At 39.6% G+C, this 20,484-nt stretch overlaps 1 long non-coding RNA gene across 1 annotated transcript, besides 1 other annotated feature; it reads right to left on the bottom strand.

The window, feature by feature from the left end:
- Nucleotides 1-12,543: 12,543 nt before the first annotated feature.
- Nucleotides 12,544-15,825, bottom strand: LOC107984823 (uncharacterized). Its single transcript, XR_001752334.2, has 3 exons — nt 15,210-15,825; nt 13,638-13,793; nt 12,544-12,587 (listed from the first exon to the last, which is right to left on the bottom strand). It is a non-coding gene; the product is annotated as an uncharacterized LOC107984823 (long non-coding RNA).
- Nucleotides 19,523-20,132: an enhancer, noted in NCBI's record as "OCT4-NANOG hESC enhancer chr16:65850922-65851531 (GRCh37/hg19 assembly coordinates)". NCBI's record gives its function as "activates a minimal SCP1, AML or CMV promoter by ChIP-STARR-seq in naive H9 embryonic stem cells {active_cell/tissue: H9 hESC(naive)}" and the evidence as "EXISTENCE:reporter gene assay evidence [ECO:0000049][PMID:30033119]".

Genomic DNA, 20,484 nt, shown 5'->3' on the forward strand with positions numbered 1-20,484 from the left:
CCCACTGTGGCTATTCTGTATAAACTACATTTCAAGGCATGGTAACAACTGAAGAGTGATGTGCCACCAGCATCCCTAAAACTGCTTTTAGCTGAAGGAAAGGAAGCTTGGAAGGCAGTAAGCCCAGGTTTTCCCCGGATTCAAGAACAATTAGGACTTGGGTTGGAGGGGTCATTTCAGCTTCCAGGAATGTTTTTTTAAAATGTCCTACTGATATGGGAGGGGGGCAGGGAAGTGCTGGGTAGAGAAGGGTGGGGTCCTTGGTGAGGGCTCCACCCTCAGGCCTGTGCCCACAGACCTACATGAGGATGAGCATTTCTGTTTTTGCACCCAAAAAGTTGCCTTTTGACCCACCACACCCCCCATCCTGTGCCCATATAAGCCCAAGACCTTAAGTAGACACACACAAGTGGCTGGGCATCGGGAGGAACACACCAGCAGAAGAACACACAGACATGCCAGCTGGCCATCGATGATGGAACAACATGAATGCCAAGTAAATTCGGCTGGGGATGGTCAGAGGAGAGTCTGGCTGCTGAGACACCTGACTCCAGGGGAAGGCCACCTTCCCATTCCATCCCCCTTCTGGCTCCCCATCCATCTGCTGAGAGCTACTTCCACCATTCAATGAAACACTGCACTTATTCTCCATGCCCACATGTGATCCGGTTTTTCCAGTACACCAGGGCAAGCACCCCAGGTACAGAAAGCTCTCTGTCCTTGCGATAAGGCAGAGGGTCTAATTTAACTGATTTACACAAACCACTTACAGACAGCAAAACTGAAAGAGCACATTGTAACACACGCCCAGTGGGGCTTTGGGAACTGTAAACACTTAACTGTAGACACTGCTGTGGGGTTGTAGCCCACATTCCCCATGATCTGCCCATCTGCATGCTCCCCCTAGGAGTTTGAGCAGCGGCGCACCCAATAATCCAGCCACACCCCTGTCCCAAGCCCTGTGAGGAGGATAAGGGAAAACTCCTCCCACGTCACTACTTTAATATCTAGTCCTTCCAACTATTGCTACAAACTGAGACATTAGTTACTAGGGCTGTTACAACAGTCACCCCTATCTTTGTGAACTATTTCAAAAGAAACCCAATGGCCTTACCATATTGGTATTCCACAGAACACCTGCAAAGCTCTCAAGCAAACATGTGCCTCAGTCAATACTCATTAAGATGATTTTACACACAGGAACACCTAAATAACTAAATCAATCTATTGTGTAGAAGGAGAGGGCATCATGATGGAGAAACCAAGAAAAATCAGGGGAGGAGTTAAAATGAGGATCATAATGTCTCTTAACTGACTCTCAAAGAAAAATTCTTCATGGCCTTATGCAGCATCATTTTAAAGATTCAGTGTCTGTTGGCAATTATTTTTCACATACATCAAATAAAATTAGTTGGTTGCTTTTCTAGTGCATAGCTGACTAGAAGATGTACATTTAGTGGGTAAAGCTTGAAGGGAAAAAAAGAGGGGCAGACCTAGCTCAGAAAGAAATTATGGGGGTTAGGAGAGTAGGTGAGAGTAGGTAAGATAATTTTTAAGAATGACTCAAAAACTGTGCAGCAGGCTGGAGCACTTATGCAAAGAAGCAAAAGTCTACATATATTCAGAAGTTTCTAAAGAAATATATTCCTTTCCTGTATATTGGAGCAGGGTAAAAAATGGGAAATTAAAACAAGAATCCTAAATTATCAAAAATAAAATAAAATAAATATGTTCCAAATTTCCAAAGAAACATATTGCTTTCCTATACATTGGAGAAGAGTGAAAAAATGGAAATTAAAAGGAGAATCCCAAATTACCACAAAAAAAGAATAAAATAAATATGTTCCAGATCCTCTAGTAAGAAAGTATAGAAGACTACAATATGTCTTTATCATATTCCTCCCCTCCATATCAATTCCAGTTTCTGTGATATTGGTTCTATTCTTTGTTACCTCTAATGCAAATCTGAAATTTCACCATGACTTTTTGAAAACTCTTATCTTCTGTTCTTATCCCAACAGGCTCTCTTTGTATCTCTGCATCCACCTTAGTTTCTTGCCTCTCCTGTACCACCCATGATTTTGTTTCAAACTGGCTGTTTTTGACATGCAAGTGGGAAGTCTTATATTTGGAAAATATAATTTCCAGAACTTTAATTTTTTCTTTAAATCTCCAGAGCAATGGTTTGTTTTGTTTTGTTTTTCTATTAAGTACAGATTCCCATTTTGGTGCTATTGATTTATGTATTTAACTCATTCAAAATTACAAGGAATAAAACTAAGCTCTGTGCTTTGTAAGAGCCAGGATAAATAGTGTCCCTAGTCATCACCCAGTTTCCCTGGAATACTGGTCACAGTTTTTCACCTGATGGGCTTGGGTTTAAGCTTCTCCTGCTCCAATGAATGGATTCTCTGCCATTTCTTTTCATGCAAGAAAATAATCCAGAATAAAACACCTTTTGCCATTACTTTTATTTCCGCATCTCTCTGGGTTATTATTTGCATGCCTTTGGAAGTAAGTAGTAATAAGGAAGTTAACTGAAACCCAAGCAATGAGCAGGGCTCTGGAACTGTTGGGTTTCTCATGAATTTCTCACAGTGTTTGTGGATGGTTACCTGTTATTCTCATCAGCTGAAACTACGGGGACTTCGAGTTAAGGTTAGACGGTGAACTTCTCAAAGTTGTGTGTGTGTGTGTGTGTGTGTGTGTGTGTGTGTGTGTGCACACGAGAGAAAGATGGAGAGAGAGAGAATATGAAAATGTATATATTCATGCACACGAACATATGCATGAGCACATGAAGCCCTATGCGGAAAAGAGAAAGAAACAGGGTGCTTGTTAAATGCAGAGACTGTTTTTCCTCTAGGTTTGCTAAGCTATATGGCCTGTCTGGTTTTGAGAACATGCTTCTCAATCCATTCCATCAACCTGGCAGCATAAGATCCTACACGCTTCTCTTAACTTTATGCTGTTTTCCTAGTTTGTCTTTTTGCATCTTCAAAGGCATATCAGTCATAAATAGTCTGTGGCATTACTAACTTATTCATATTTCACGTACCTGGAAGAATGTATTAATTATAGAAAGTATCTGATTTTCAATAGCTTAAGAGAAACTTTCAATGAAATTGCCTGCCATATGAGACAGTACATTTTAATTTTCTTCTGTGGTTACTGGTCTGTTCAATTAATTAGTTGTTTTGCTTTGCATTGTTTTGAGTCCATTTCAATTATTTCTATTTCTCCCTTAGATAATTAACTTTATCAATGATTTTGTCAATGTATTAACCTAGAGTTGGCCATTTTAAGTATATTATCTTCTTTATAAATTATCTGTATATCTGTAATTATTTGGTCTCTCTTATTTCTCATTTTTCTTAAGGGTAAATGGTGATTCTGTATTTTTTTTTTCATTAGATTACCAGAAGTTGATCTAGTTGATCTACTTTATTTACTTTTGAGACATGGGGAGGGTATTAGTTTGGACATAACTTCCTGGAATAATTTATCTATTCCATTTTCTAATTATTTTCTATTTCAATTTATTTCTGTTCTTATCTTCATAATTTGCATTTACCTAGTTCCCCACATTTGGAGTCTCAGTCTAGTATCTTAAATGGATTGAATAATTTAATGTTATTATTATTTCTTGTTTAATTAAGAATTGACTTACTGTTATGGGCTTGCCTAGGAATATAGCTTTGTCAGTATAACATGAGTTTATGATGAAATTTTCTTAGTTTATTTCTAAATAATCAGTAATTTAGAGCCTATTATTCTAATTATTTAGAAATTTTAATTTTCATTATTATTTGTTTTTACTTGGATTTTTAATTTGTATTTAATTGACATTAAATTTGAAGAGTTTGTCTTATAGTCTTTATTTTAAAAGATTTAAAACTTTATTGTGCTAATTTGCAATTGCAAAAATATGAAACCAACCTAAATGCCCATCAATCAATGAATGGATAAAGAAAATGTGGTATATATACACCATGGAATACTACTCAGCCATAAAAAGGAATGAAATAATGGTATTTGCAGCAACTTAGGTGGAGTTGGAGACCATTCTTTTTTTTTTTTTTTTTTAACTGGAGATCATTATTCTACATGAAGTGACTCAGGAATGGAAAACCAAATGTTGTACATTCTCAATTATAAATAGAAGCTAAGCTATGAGAATGCAAACACATAAAAATTATGTACTGGATTTTGGGTACTAAGAGGGGAAGGGTAGGAGGGTCTGAGGGATAGAAGACTACACGTTGGGTACAGTATACACTGCTCGGGTGACCTGTATGCCAAAATCTCAGAAATCACCACTAAAGAACTTATCTATGTAACCAAAAACTACCTGTTCCCCAAAAGCTATTTGAAATAAAATAAAATAAAATAAAAATTTAAAAATAAAGTATATACTTAAAAGAAGAAAAAAATAAAACTTTATTGGGCTTATTTTTGTGGCCTAGAATAAGGGAAAAATTTTTATATCTTTCATGAAAGCTTAAAGAACATATTTTAAAATATTCATATTTTTATTAATTATTTTATTTAAATGTATGTATGATACATTTATGTATTTTGGTCTATTTTAACTGCCAAGGGTAAGAGAGGTGTGTTACTTTCTCCCAAAGCAAACGTGTTTCTATAAATTTCCCACTTTATTTCTAACATTTTTAGTTTTATATATTTTGATGTTATGTTATTCAGCAAATAAATTTTCATGGCATTTTATCTTCACTGTGGATCGTAAAGTGGCACTCTTTGTCTCCTTTAATAGTATTTGGTCTGGAGTAAAATTTGTCTGAACTAACATTGCCAGCCCTGCTTTCATTTCCCCGTTAATATTTTTAACTAGTTTTTCAACTTTGTCTTTTCATTTTGTGTGGCATTTATGACATTGAGGTAGAGATGTAGTGTTGAACAGAATAAGAAAAGTTTGGCCTTTTTGATTGTTGGGAAATATCATTAATTATACAGAATCTTTAAAAATTATCTGAAAAGTGCCCAGTGGAAACCTTTTGTTGGCAGACACTACAACATCTCTGTGTGGCTTCCTCGGGGAGGCAGAGGTGTGAATTGTCAGCCCCTGGCCTCATCTCACTCCTGGCTATGTGCCTTGGCTAAATCAAGCCTCTAGGCTAGAGAGTCAGTTTTGGTACTCAGAATACAAGTAAAACAAGACAGGTAAGTATACTATGCAGCCATAAAAAATGATGAGTTCATGTCCTTTGTAGGGACATGGATGAAATAGGAAATCATCATTCTCAGTAAACTATCGCAAGAACAAAAAACCAAACACTGCATATTCTCACTCATAGGTGGGAATTGAACAACGAGATCACATGGACACAGGAAGGGGAATATCACACTCTGGGGACTGTTGTGGGGTGGGGGGAGGGGGGAGGGATAGCATTGGGAGATATACCTAATGCTAGATGACGAGTTAGTGGGTGCAGCGCACCAGCATGGCACATATATACATATGTAACTAATATGTAACTAATCTGCACATTGTGCACATGTACCCTAAAACTTAAAGTATAATAAAAAAAAAGATGTAACTACTAGGTAAAATCTAGATGTTTACAGTAGCGATATTATCAGGTACTTTTCCATGTGTACCTGATAGATACCCACTGCCATTTTCTCCTGTACTCTCAAAATAACAGTAGAGTGATATCAGAGTTGTGTTGTACGGGGAATAAAATTGCAGAAAACTGGAGAAACTCATATTATAGATTTTAGGTGTTATCCTCTCTGCCAAGGCAGGCTTAGACAGGGACCTTGTCTACAGTGCCATGGGAGGTGTCAGGCATCAATGTTATACGTGAAGAGATCTGCTCTAAGCTCTTTGCATGTACTTAAAATCTCTGCACCTCAATGTCTTCATCTGTAAAATAAGACTACATGAAGCAATAAAGTGCTTAGAGCAAATCTCTTGGTATGCAGTAGCTGCAGGCAGGGGTTAGCTAACATTATTACTGACTTGACCATCTTGTTTCATATCTGCTTTGTATACTGATTTGCTATTTCTTCTCTTATTTTGTTTATTTATTATTTGTATTTATTATTTTGGTCTGCATTTTGCTTTTGCTTATTTTTTCCCAGTAGTTGGGAAGGAATCTTTTCAAAATTTTACTTTGGCTTCATTTTACATCTTTGAATCGTTTTTTCTCTGGTTTTCAAGATTTGATGTCAACTCTCCTCCCCTTTATAAGATGAGCAATTTATTGTGTTTATGTTTTTCATGCCTCTCTCTAAACCCATTCTCTATTCTATTAGCACTGCATAATTGAGAACTATCTCTTGAGAATTATATTGACATTTGCATTCAAATTGGAAGGGTATTTACAGTTTTTGACTTAAGATCAATTGTTTTCTCAAAATCACTTTTAATACCATGGTTTCCCCCATTCTTGAGTCATTCATCCCAGTCACTCCTAGTAGTATGTAGACCACATTCAAGTTCTTTCTCCCACAAATAAGAGTTTAAGTATTTTTTTGTTTTATTTTGTTTTCGTGTCCTTTATTTGCTTTTTTTTTTTTTAACCTTTACCCACAAGTGGCCATTTTGCTGATGACAATGTTCTTGGGTTGCACACTTTTCCCTGAAAATACTGTACAAGTTGCCCCATTTTCTGGCATTTACTACTTTCTTCTAGGTGTGAATCCTTTTTTCCTTATCTTTTCTTAAAATACGGTAGGAATTTTTGATCTCCATATTTAGATCTTTTCAGCTTCAGAAAATTGTATCTAATTATACCCTTGATGATTGTTTTCTTTCACTCGCTGTCTTTTAATCTTTAGAAACATCTACAATTTATGTGTATTGTATCAGTTCTCCATCTCCCTGTTCCTTTTATCATCTTTTATTTTGTATTCCTCTGATGTCTGATGCTCAATAAATATTTCTTTTAGTACGACAGAAAAGAATGAAGGAGAGAAAGAAGAAAGGAAGGAAGGAAGGAAGGAAGGAAGGAAGGCAGGAATCTGGGGACATGTTTTCAAGTTTATCCTACTCAGCTTTGATTTAACTTTCTGATCATTTCTGTCTTAACTATGGACAGTTAGCGTTTTGCCTCCTATGGCCGAATGGTAAGTTTCGTGCAACCTTTTCTTGTACCAGGCAGCTCCATTTATTTTTTTATATCCATCTGTGCTGTGGTTGTTGTTTTCAAAATGGTTTTTAAACAGTGCTTTAGGGCCTCAACTTTTGGTATCTTACCAAGCATTCTACATGCTCTTCCCACACCCAATGTATACAATAAATCATTTTCAGTGTAATGTTCTTTTTATTTTTGTTCTATAGTATTTCCCAGTCACCCCCATTGACTTCTATTTTTTGATAGACACTCCCAGGTGATAACACATGAAATTGTTGTAACAGATGCCTCTACTCAGGCACTGCTAGAGCAAGGTGGGAATCATCTCCTAATCTATCTGTTTGGTTCTCTGACACTTTAAACCAATGACTCAATGTTAACATAGAAATAGCCTTTGTTGCATGCACTGTTTCCAGGGACCTTCCTGTCCCATCCCCAACACAGCCCTCTCCCTGTTATGAGTTCTGGCCTTGGAGATACAGGGGGTTCTCCCCACCCTCACTGCATGCTTTTATTTCCTATCAGTGGATGTCAGTGAGATAGAACAAGACGCAGGAGTCAACTGCCCTTTCAAGAACAAGAGATGCTTTAAATAAATAACTAACTACTTTTATGATTGGTATAAAACCCAAGTCTCTGGGACAGATGGAGACAGTGTGACAGTGTATGTGTGTGCATGTATGGGTATGAGATGAAGAGAGGAACACATTTTCATCCTACATTCTCTCATGGGTGAAAAATATTGTTCTGTCGTCTATTGTTTTTCTTTTTTCTTTCTTTCTTCCTTTTTTTTTGAGATGGGATTTCACTCTAACTCAGACTGGAGTGCAGTAGCACAATCACAACTCACTGCAGCCTCAACCTCCCAGGTTCAAGCCTCTTCCCAAGTAGCTGGGACTACAGGTGCACACCACCACACACAGCTATTTTTTTAAATTATTTTTCTAGAGATGGGGTTCTCACCATGCTGTCCAGGCTGGTCTCAAACTCCTGTGCTCTTCCTCCTGCCTTGGCCTCCCAAAGTGCTGGGATTATAGGCATAAGCCACCTCGCCTAGACACCACTGCCTCTTCCTCCTCCTCTTCCTCCTCCTTTTTCTCCTCCTCCTCTTCCTGCTGCTCTTCTTCTTCTCCTCCTCCTCCTCTTCTTCTTCTTCCTTCTCTTCTTCTTCTTCTCCTCCTCCTCCTCTTCTTCCTTCTCTTCTTCTTCTCCTCCTCCTCCTCTTCTTCCTTCTCTTCTTCTTCTTCTCCTCCTCCTCTTCTTCTTCTTCCTTCTCTTCTTCTCCTCCTCTTCTTCTTCCTTCTCTTCTTCTTCTCCTCCTCCTCCTCTTCTTCTTCTTCCTTCTCTTCTTCTCCTCCTCCTCTTCTTCTTCTTCCTTCTCTTCTTCTTCTTCTCCTCCTCCTCTTCTTCTTCCTTCTCTTCTTCTTCTCCTCTTCTTCTTCCTTCTCTTCTTCTTCTCCTCCTCCTCCTCTTCTTCTTCTTCCTTCTCTTCTTCTTCTCCTCCTCCTCTTCTTCTTCTTCCTTCTCTTCTTTTTCTTCTCCTCCTCCTCCTCTTCTTCTTCCTTCTCTTCTTCTTCTCCTCCTCCTCCTCTTCTTCTTCTTCCTTCTCTTCTTCTTCTTCTCCTCCTCCTCTTCTTCTTCTTCCTTCTCTTCTTCTTCTCCTCCTCCTCCTCTTCTTCTTCTTCCTTCTCTTCTTCTTCTCCTCCTCCTCCTCCTCCTCTTCTTCTTTCTTTCTTCTTCCTCTTCCTCTTCTTTGGAAAAGGAGTGGAATTTGTAGTTCTGCTGCTAAGACATTACTTTTTACTTTTATTCTTTGTTAACTTCCCATTTTGAAAAATAATCACTTCTTCCTAAAAACCCTTCACAGCACCACACCCAAAGGCAATCAAAGAAACATTCCAACAATTCAAGGGGACAGAAATAAGAATGAACAGCTCACAGCAAACCAGAGAGGTGCGGTGGAACATGTTGGGGGAAAGCAGAATGCCCTTTAAACATGCCTTATAACAACTCAATCATTCACATTTTTAAAATTAAACAATTTCTAGGAACAGAAACCTAGAAAATCCTGCAGCTCACAATCATGGGCCTGACTCATGGAATTGTTATCTTGGGCAAATCTATATGCATCCAGAATTGTATAGAAAGAACTTGGTTGACAAAAAAAAAAAAAAAAACACCCATCTAAGTAAAAACAAACAAACAATCCTCTATAAGCTGAACATTTTACTATGTCCAAGTTAGTAAAAAGTGGAGGCTCTCATTATAGTTCTGCTTTGTAATATTCAAAGGTTACATAAATTATGGGTAAGCCAACTGTTTAAAAAAATCTCTATAAAGTTGTCATTTAAGATTACGTTCAACCATACTAACCCCATCTTTTGATTACCTTCATTAAATCCCAAATTAGATCCTACCTTTCACTCACAGCTCACACGCCACCTGTTCTGTAATTACAGATAACCGAATCAAGCCTAAACCAATGGGATTCTGAGACCCAACAAGGCCAGAGTAGATAAAAGACCTACCACCCACCTCACAGAAGAGGCCTCTTTGCGTACGCATTCTGGGATGAGAGTGCTAAATTTTAAACATTATTAGACATAATTAGGAGTGCCTTTTTATTTTTTAAACATATTAATATGAGCTTTATAACATACAACATTTTGCATCTGTTTTTTCACTTAATGTGATATAACTTGCAAATATCTCCATATTACATGGCCATGATAAGCCATCATTTAAATAGCTGTATGATACCTCACACAATGCATACACCATCATCTATTTCTTCCATCACCGGAGATCTAGAATGAGAAAGTTACTTTGCAAAATCCCAAGGTGAAATATTTCTCTGGAAAAGTTTAATGATTCAGGCCCAGGGTTTAGACTTTTTGATAACGCATAAAGACAGATGTTTCCCATTGAGAAAGGAAATGTGCCATTCAGAGTTCTGTTTCTTGTTGCTCTTCTTGTTTTTGTTTTTAGCACAACTAACCAACTTTCTGTTCTTCTGTTTATATAAAGTAGTTACTTATAAACTATAGCTACTTAGTTATATAGGCAGCTACTTTATATAAAGATGCCAGGGATTGAGTACCACTTCAGAAAGGAGTGGGGAATAATAAAAACTATGAGCCCAGTCAAGCATGCTTTTCCTGTTACTAGTTGTTGCACGTTTTGATTCCTAACTCATAGTAAGAATGCTTTTTGGTCCTAGGAGTTGGCTGGAGAGATTGAGGACATTTGGGATAGAAGAGGAAGGCTCTAACCAGAGACCACTAGGTCTCCTCTTTCCAAAACAACAATAAATGATGATTATTCTCAATCATATATGATTTATGTGAAGTTTGGCAATTTCTGGGAAAAAATCAATAAAGAAAAAAGATGTGCAGCCATGTGAAATACCTCTGGTTAGGCTTTTTTAGAATGACTAAATTCAAGATACAGATGTGAGTATGTGTGACTGTGTGTGCACGACAGAGATGGAGGGGAAGAAAGGAGACAGGAAGAGAAAGAGAGTGGAGAAGAGAGGAAGAAAGAGAGAAAGAGAGAGACAGACAGAGGTAGAAAGAGAGACAGGGAAACAGAAAGAAAGAGAGAAAGAGAGAACACAATATGGTGTGTTCTGTAGTTCCATGCAAGGGAGGAGGTGCTGGCAGTGAGAACCACCTGCTCTGACAAGGAGTATTTCAATCACTGACATCGTTGTAAAAAATCACTGTGCTCTGACAAGGAGTATTTCATCACTGACATCATTGTAAAAGTCAGTTGTGTTATTACTTTCACCTTCTCTGTAGACAACACACCCACTATGGCCTTCATTCAGGACAGACCACTTCCATTTATCCAACTCTCGTATGCCACTGGCTCCCACATATAGTACCTGATCCCTACAAAACAAAATCAGCTGGGGTAGTTGTTACTAACGCCATTGTAAGAAGGAGGAACATGAGACAGAATTTAAATGACTTGCCCTTAGCCATACAGCTAATGAGAGGTCAAGTCAGGATTTGAACTCAGAACATACTAATTCAAAAGCGTATATTCTGCCAAATATGCTAGCTCCATAAAGATGGCAATAGAGCTTTTATTCGAAGAGAAAAAGAGGAGAAGCAAGAAGAATCAGAGGTTATATATATATAGGGAAAACTACAGAGCGGCTGCTTTTACGTTTTTTGTTCTGAGATCTTTCCCTTCATATCTCATTATGCATTTATTTTATATTATGTTATTTTGGCTACCATCTGTTATGAGCTGAGTTGTGTCCTCCCAAAATTCCTATGCTGAAGCCCTAACCCCCAGTACCTCAGAGGATAACTGTATTTGGAGATAAGGCCTTTAAAGAGGTAATTAAGGTAAAATGAGGCCATATGGCTGGGCCCTAATCCAATGTGACTGATGTTTCTATAAGAAGAGGAAATTTGGACACGGATAGTGCAGAAGGAAGACCATGTGAGGACACAGGGAGAAGGAAGCCATCTACACGCCAAGGGGAGAGGCCTCAGAAGAAACAGCGCTGCCGATGCCTTGATCTCAAACTTCCTGCCTCCAGTACTTTGAGAAAATAAATCTGTTGTTTAAGCCACCCAGTCTGTGGTATTTTGTTGTTGCAGCCCTAAGAAACTCATCCACCAACATTAGACTTACACAGGGCTGCACTTCTTGGGGTCTGCCCCACACTGAGACCCTTCAAAATCACTCATCCAGGGTAACCCATTAGTTGTTTGTTTGTCTGTTTGTTTGTTTGTTTGTTTGTTTTTTGAGGCAGAGTTTCGCTCTTGTTGCTCAGGCTGGACTGCAATGGCATGATCTCAGCTCAATGCAACCTCTGCCTCCCCAGTTCAAGTGATTCTCCTGCCTCAGCCTCCTGAGTAGCTGGGGTTACAGGAATGCACCACCACGCCTGGCTAATTTTTGTATTTTCAGTGCAGATTGGGTTTCGTCATGTTGGCCAGGCTGGTCTCAAACTCCTGACCTCAGGTGATCTGCCCACCTCGGCCTCCCAAAGTGCTGGGATTACAGGCATGAGCCACCTCGCCTAGCCTAGCTGTTCTTTTAGTGCCGCAAGAGCAGGTCAACAGGGCCAAGCCCAGGATGTTATCTGTACCCAAGGCAGACATGGGGCTGGCCCCAAATCGACACTCCTCTAAGGGCTCCACCCCACCTTTCTCTTTTGTCTTTGTCAAGTGGATATTCGCCATAAATTTGTAGTAAAACATACACTGGCTGCCGTTGGCAGAGATGAGCTCTCAGTTTGGGAGCTACTGAATCAGGTCCTTAACCAAATATGAAATGACAGAACTGTTTCCAGCGGAGGATTAATTGAGCCAACTCAAGGCAAACATGACGTATTTTGGCATTGCTTTTGACAGATGGAAATAAAACAAACATTAGCAACCGGATTGCAGCTAACAATATGCAAAATTAAAGAAGGTACCTTTTTAACTTTGTCTGGGAGCCCACTGGCTTTTCTTATAAAATCTGCAGCAGGAAAAAAAGACAGAGCTGTTAATCTCGTTATCCAACCAGTTAGCACATGCAAACAAGGGGAATTAAAAGTCTTTGCATTCAGGGGAGGAAACAGATATTTGACACATGTATTTATTAAGGAGACTGGACTGGAAAATAGCACTGCTGTATTAATCAGAAATGGTCTAGAAAATACTTAAATAATACAACAGAATGTGCACAGACAGCATAAGCTGCTTACAAATGGAAGCCTGAGGTCTGAGTATTTTTATTTAAAGGTTAAATTTTCAATTAATTTTGTTTTCAGCTTGCTGCCATCCTTTCAAAGCATCACTGTTAATTGCTATAAAACAGTGTCTCCCCCGTTTGAATTCTGGACATGAAGACCTGAAGCTGTCAGCCATCTAATGGACATCAGGGTATTGGAGCAGAAATCAAAATTACTGTGTAAAAGCTGAACCAAAATGTCAGACTCTGAGAAGCCAGCGGATCAGTTAAATGTCCCTTTTTTCATGTGTTGAGTGTCTTAATCTGGATGTGCCACTGTAACAAAATACCCCAAGACTGGGTAATTTATAATAATTTAAAAGGACTGATTTCTAACACAATAATAATAGAAAAAAATGGAATAATAGAAATGTCTTATTTATTTCTATGACTAAGTTGAAGATCAAGGTGCTGGCAGGTTCCATGTCTGGTGAGGACCAGGACTCTGCTTCCAAGATGGGGCCTTAAGCACCATGTCCTCATGTGACAGAGGAAATAGAAGAAGATGAACCCACTCCTTCAGTCTCCTTTATAAGGGCCCTAATCCTATCTCGGAGTTCTGCTCTCATGATTTCACTGCCTCCTAAAGGCCCCCCTCTCAATGCTACCACACTGGCAGTTGAGTTTCCACATACAAAATTTTGGGGACACACTCAGACCATAGTGCTCGGTTTCTCAGAAGTAAGTTCCAGCCCATCATGGGAAAGTGCAAATAGATACATTCTATTATTAGAGTTTCCAGATAACCCAACTTCAGCGGGCTTGTGGCAGGCCAGCGTCTATATGCATACTTACTCAGTGGGTCGGCAGAGGAGAAGAAACCCATCGCCTCCTTTACAATAGAACTGTATACCTGGGAAACCATGTCCCTGGCTGTGAGTGAGCTTATCAACTTCTGCTGGGTTAACTGGCATTTCAGGACTCCCTCTTCTCAGCTAACATCCTCATTGTCTGGGATCATAGGAAACAAAATTGAGAAAGAATTGTGTCACTAAGAATTGGGATTGGAAATAGGGTTAAGTCTTGAGTGGATGATAGAATTTTATAAAATAGTCACTATTTGAGTGATGAGTACTTAAAGCTCAAACTCCACCATTGTGCAATATATCCATGTAACCTGCATGTGTGCTTCTGAATCTAAAATAAATTGTTTTACAAAGAAGGTTTGGGGTTTAAATACATTTACATATGTTTTGGCTGGAAGACATATGTTTTTTGAGAGTCAGAATTAAGTGTGAGGATGATTTTAAATTGAGAATAAAGGAGAATGATGGCATTGAGGATAAAATATAGCATTATTTAAAATAGCCCAGTATCATAGAAAGAACATGGATTTTTTTTAATAAGGCAAATCTACTTTTGCAATTCTGTGCCATCTCTTAATACTTATGTAACCATGTGCCAGTCACCAAAACTCTCAGTCTCAGTTTCTTCATCTGCAAGATGGGAATAATAGTGTCTACTCTGTGCTTTCTGAACATTTTTACATTTATCCAGGAAAAATAGACAGATGATAAATTAGATCAGTCCCTCCCCACCTCACAGGGACATTTGGCATTGTTTGGAGATATTTGTGATTGTCACAACTTGGAAGGGGGGAATATTGCTCCCAAAATCTAGTAGATAGAGGCCCAGGATGCTGCTGTATACCCTAAAATACACAGGACGGTATCCCCCACCCCTAGAATTATTCAGTTCAAAATGCCAGTAGTACTGACACCTGACACTGATACTGAAAAACTCTAGATTAGATCTAGGTAGGTAGATGATACAAGATACATAAATAGCAAATGGAGAAGTTGATGATTTATGTCTTATATCTCCATCATATTTATGCTTCCATCATATATATGTGTGTGTGTGTGTGTGTGTGTGTGTGTATTTATCATGGACATTAGTTGATGGCTAGATAGATGAGAGACAATTCTTACATGAGACACGCTAGGCATCAATAAATGGAAGTGATTTTAAAATTAAACCTAAAAACAGGATTAATACCATGAGGGTTGGGATAAAATAAAGGAAGTTGCTAAAGGTGAAATAATAATCTTAGAAGTGAAACTGTGCCAGCCATCATGCTAAGTGCTGTGTATTCTTATAGCATTGTAGATTGGTGTTCATTCAAGTCTAAGACTAGGATTCATGATAGATCTATGGTTCGGGCTAAGGTGGGGATTAAGGGTAGAGCTGTGAGACAACCCTGTCAGTAGACATTTTTTCCAAAGAGCAACCAAAGCCCAGCAATTGTATGGACAGAGGCAAACAGCCCAGCTACCATCCAGTCCGAGTTCCTGCAGTTCAAGGAGGGGACAGAATTCATGTGACATTTACAAGTCAGGAAGGCCCACTCTACAATTTCCCACTTACCCAGGCGTTTGCAACTGAGACATCTGGAGCACGTCGATGACCAAGGTCCATCCCATGTTTGTATCCATTTCCTGGAGGAAGAAGCAGAAGTAAACTGGAATGATTTGAGTTTCATGTGAAGGGAGAATGCCGTGCATTCCAGTACTGAACAAATTTTGAGAAACGACGCCGTTTGTTCACTTTGTATTGAAGAGGATAGGAAGTTTATGAGGTTCAAGATAATGCCTCTACCCTGCATCAATCCACAGGAGTGACGAGCATCTTCAGAATGCAAGAGAACAGGGTATTTGAACCAGTATTGGGAGTGTCAGCTGTCTGGTCGCATCTTACTCTCAGAAGGTAGGTCAGCAAAATCACACCAAAATTTCAAGACAGTTCTGTAATGTCATAGTACATAAGAATAAAGAAACTTAAAACATTGCGTGGTATCCTGGCTGGAGAAAGACTGCTTGTAGGGAGACCCCCTGAAACTATTGCTACGGAATAAAAGATGAACTGCTCCTGATTACTGTAAATAAAAAGTTGCATGCAGGATTGTGTAAAGACAATGCCAGGTTGGACTGCCAGAATGAGCCAACAGCGTGTGATGTGCTTCCCCCTGCAGAAAGCCTATGAATGGACGTGCAGTCAGGGAGGTTTCACATCACCAAGATTCCTATCCCAGAAAAGCAGATGTTCATAGCTCTGGGAATGGAATGCGACCCTTGTGGAAAGCCTATAAACGGATGCATGGGGAGCGCCTGTCCATATGGATAAGATAGGGCTATAAACACCCTCATCTTGCCGCGGCTCTTCTAGGCCTCTTTAGGGTTAAAGCATACTCCCTTCTGAGAATTTCTGGTCTAACCAGTTGTCTAGCTTCATGTCCTGTTTCCATGGATTGTTTGTAACCAGCTTTTGTTACAATTGTTACTGCTGATTAATATCTTGCTAATCATAGGTTACGGAAAGACTGTGCTTCTGTTCTAAGGCTCTGTTAGAAATTACTGACGCACACACTATATTGTAAATTGTTATCTCTGTATACTGTACTTCTACATACAAATGTACTGTACTTCTTCATACAAATGTTATGTTAAAGAATTACTTCATCCCCATGTGACCATCTCACCTCATAATCAAATGACCCTAAATCCCTCACTGACCTACCCCCGCCCTCACTAAACTTAATAATAAATGCTGGTATACCCAGTGCATTGTTGGCACCGCGGGACCAGAAGGCAGTGACCCACCTGGACCCAGCTTTCACTGTCTTGTGTGTGTCTATTATTTCTCAACCTGCCGATCCACCTAGGAGCAGAGAGAGAGCCCCGTTGCATTGCAGGCTGCTGGCCAGATCCCGCAATAGCTGCTCAAACAGAAGGCAGGTTGTCTGAATGGAGCATGGTGAAGAGGGAAGGAAACAGACTTGGCAGTCATTCACCTGCAGTGTCCTTGTCAAGACTCACTAAATCCGGGAAGCAGCTAAGTGGTCCATAAAGGGCCGTCTCTGGTAAAAGGCTGGTTTGTTCACAGGCTTCTTGTGTGGCTGGTGTGAAACATCCCTTACTCTGTGCTCTTCCTCCATACCCAGAAAGTGAGCCACAGATGACCATCTCCCAAATACTCAGTGCAGAAAGTGGAGGTCCTTGTAGGATGGCACGAGCATTTTTGTTCCTGGGAAGGTAGGTTTCTTTATAGCAATTTATGAGGTGGAATTTGGTTTACATTTCAGTCTCTTGAATCTGGTTTCTGGTGCAGTCCCTCATGGGCTAGATCTTCTCTGAATGTTCAGCCAAAATATCTTGGTGACAAAAGGAGAAGACGAATTCTGAATCATAATGACCTCGCTGTCATACCCCTATAGAGGGACCCTCAAAATTCACACACAAAAAAATAAAAATAATCACAATTCCATCTTAGAACATTTCTCAGTTTAAGATATTGTGCTCGTTTGTAATTAATGTCTGTTCCCATCCTCTGGAAGTTGCAGAGAATCACTAATCTCTTTTCTGTCTCTATAGATTTGCCCTTTCTGAACATTTTGTATAAGTGGAATGATATATTAGATAGTCTTCTGCATCTGGTTTTTCTCAGTTAGCATAATGTTTTTAGAGATTCATCCATGTTGTAACATACATCAGTACTTCATTTCTTTATATGCCCAAATAATATTCCATTTTACAAATACACCATATTTTGTTTGCCCATTCACTTGTTGAAGTATATTTGTGTTGTTTACCCTTTTTGGCTATAGTAAATAATGCTGCTATGAACTTTTACGTACAAGTATTTTGAACATATGTTTTTGGGTTTTTTTCTTTTTTAATTTTTTATTTCCATAGTTTTTTGGAGACAGGTGGTATTTGGTTACATGAGTAAGTTCTTTAGTGGTGATTTGTGAGATTTTGGTGCACGCATCAACTGAGCAGTATGCACTGAACACAATTTGTAGTCTTTTACCCCTCACCCCCCTACCACCCTTTCCCCAAAGTCCCCAAAGTCCATTGTATCAGCCCAAATGTCCATCAATCAACAAGTGGATAAAGAAATTGTGGTATATATACATACAATGGAATAATACTCAGCCATAAAAAGGAATGAATTAATGACATTTGCAGCAACCTGAATGGACAGAAGACTATTATTCTATGTGAAGTCACTCAGGAATGGAAAACCAAACATTGTATGTTCTCACTCGTAAGTGGGAGCTAAGCTGTGAGGATGCAAAGTCATATAAACAAATGTTTTTATTTATCTTGGGTAGATACCTAGGAGTGGAATTGCTAGATCACTTGGTAAATTTGTTTCCACTGGTGGGGTCTTGACCAGCCACAGATCCAGCCTCCTCCTCAGCATTGGACAGGGTTATAATGGGATAGCAAGAACCTACCTGCTACATGTCTACATCATTCGTTACTTGGGAGATTTCCTATTAAAACATTTGAAATTCCACCCACCTTTAAATGGAGGACAGCCTTTTAGTCACTACCTGAGTATGTGATTTCAATAAGATGATCTTCTAAAATACAAAAGATGAGAAAGTATCTTGGAGAGGTGACAACATGAAAGATGATAATGTGATATTACTGCCATCATTAGGATTATTCACTTGTCATCTGAGACTTAAAGTGATGGTGATTTCAGCTTTGTCTGGTAGGATCAGGGAACAGCTAAGATCTAATTCAAAGATCCCTTGACTCTGATGTTTGTTCCCACCACTTCCACTTCCTAGTTATGGGAATTTCTGCAAAGTGATTTGCCTCCCCAAGCTTTAGATGCTTCCCTTACAAAATGGGGCCACCAACATCATTTCTCAGGGTTTCCACAGGATTAAATAAATGGCAGCACGTTGAATCCAGTCCCTTGGGCTATTGGGTAGGTGTTACCAAACCCTAATTTCTTTTCCTTTTTTTTTTTGTTTTTTTTTTTTTTGTGACAGAGTCTTGCTCTGTCACTCAGGCTGGAGTGCAGTGCTCTTATCTTGGCTCACTGCAGCCTCAACTTCTCTGGGCTCAAGTGATCTTCCCTCCTCAGCCTCACAAGTAGCTGGGGCTATAGGCATGCACCACCATGCTCAGCTAATTTTGTTTATTATTTGTAGAGACAAGGTCTCACTATGTTGCACAGGCTGGTTTTGAACTCCTGGACTCAAGCAATCCTCTCACCTTGGCCTCCCAAAGTGCTGGGATTATAGGCATGAGCCACTGCGTCCAGCCTGGACCCTAATTTCAATGTAGGAAGGTTGTATATCTCAAGGGAAACCTCAAAGAACCAAAATGTGCTGGAGAATAGGCTGCTTGATTTTGTTCTCTTGTTTTTTTATTTTACTTGGGATTTATTTGTATAGAATTTTGATATTTTTCTTTTAAATAGAAATACCAACAAAAATAATAGGACAACACATTGATATGGCCCTTTTTAAAGGTGCATTCATATTGATGATATCATTTAGTCTATTACATCTTGTGACTCTTAAGTCTCGTGGCTCACTAAAATTACGTGGGGAGCATTTAGTAACAGTCAGTGCCTGGGCACCAACCCCAGAGGCTCTGATTCAATGGATCTGGGGAGGAGCTCAGGAGTCTGAATTTTTTTTACATCTCTGGTTATTCCCATGTAAAACCAGAGCTCAGATCTGTTGCAATGGGCTGTGGAAGATAAGGCAGAGGCTGCCTTCTCTAGTGTTCAGTTAGGAAGCTGGGAGAAAGGTTAAAGGGCTGCCCATCAGGATTTGAATCCAGGTCTCTCAACTGAGTCCAGTGCTCTGTTTCCTACACCGCATTTTCTAGGGATAAAATTGAACTAAAACGGAGGAGGTCCTGGAGTAGAGAAAGGACAATATTAAGTCCCCTTGGAAGAAATGTACCAATGGGTGGCAATAATACATTCACCCAGAATAACTCCACAGGAGGGCCTTATCCCGCCTCGCCTTGCATATGTTGAAACCAGGGCATGGTTTCCTATAAAAATGCTTACTGTGCAGAAGTTCAGTGAGAGGTAGGGATTCTAAGGGGACAGATAAATCTATGAGCAAGACCAGTGAGTTGGTAAAACACCCAGCTCAGCAGTTCAGAGCCAAAAATAGAAAGGCTTTGTAAGCAGGTAGGTATCTTTATTATGGTAATCAACTCTGGGCCTAAGAAACAATGAGGCCATCAGAGTTCCTGGGATGCTCCATAAAGGTGGTAGTAGTGGGTGTCCTGGTAAGCACAGAAATCTGTGATCTGGCGTACAGCACTCAAGTGGGGCTACCAACTTCAGGCCTCTCTGCATCCAGGGCCACCAACTTCAGGCCTCTCCGCACCCAAGACCTGGCTAAGTTTTAGCCCACCAGTGAATCAATGTGAATTGATAGGGAAAATGCTAAACTGGAAGAAATACACTAAAAAAAAATCATAAAATTTGAGAACAAAATGGAATTCAGATTATCAAGTTAAAGCCCTCATTTTACAGATTAAAGAAAATGAAGCTCGGGGTAGAGAAATGATTTGCTTCAAGGCTACAGAGCTAAGTGGAGTGGCAGATCCAAGAGCCTCCCTGCTTGGTGGTTCTTCTGCCATTAAAAACCAACCAAACAAGAAACCATGGGCAAAACACAGGCACACCCTGAATACTGTCAGGAGGAGACGGTCTTCATTCTCTCTTGTGGTGCCCTTCCCTCTTCCTGAGGAGTGAGCCGTCACTTTGGCTTCTACTCTATGTTAAGGGGATCAAGGGACATCATGGAAATATGGACTCTGGCCCTGGCTTTGCTGTGTGTCTTGGGGCAAGTCACTTTACTTTTCTGGGTCTC

Source organism: Homo sapiens, chromosome 16, assembly GCF_000001405.40.
Source record: "Homo sapiens chromosome 16, GRCh38.p14 Primary Assembly".
In the NCBI taxonomy this organism is placed as follows: domain Eukaryota; kingdom Metazoa; phylum Chordata; class Mammalia; order Primates; family Hominidae; genus Homo; species Homo sapiens.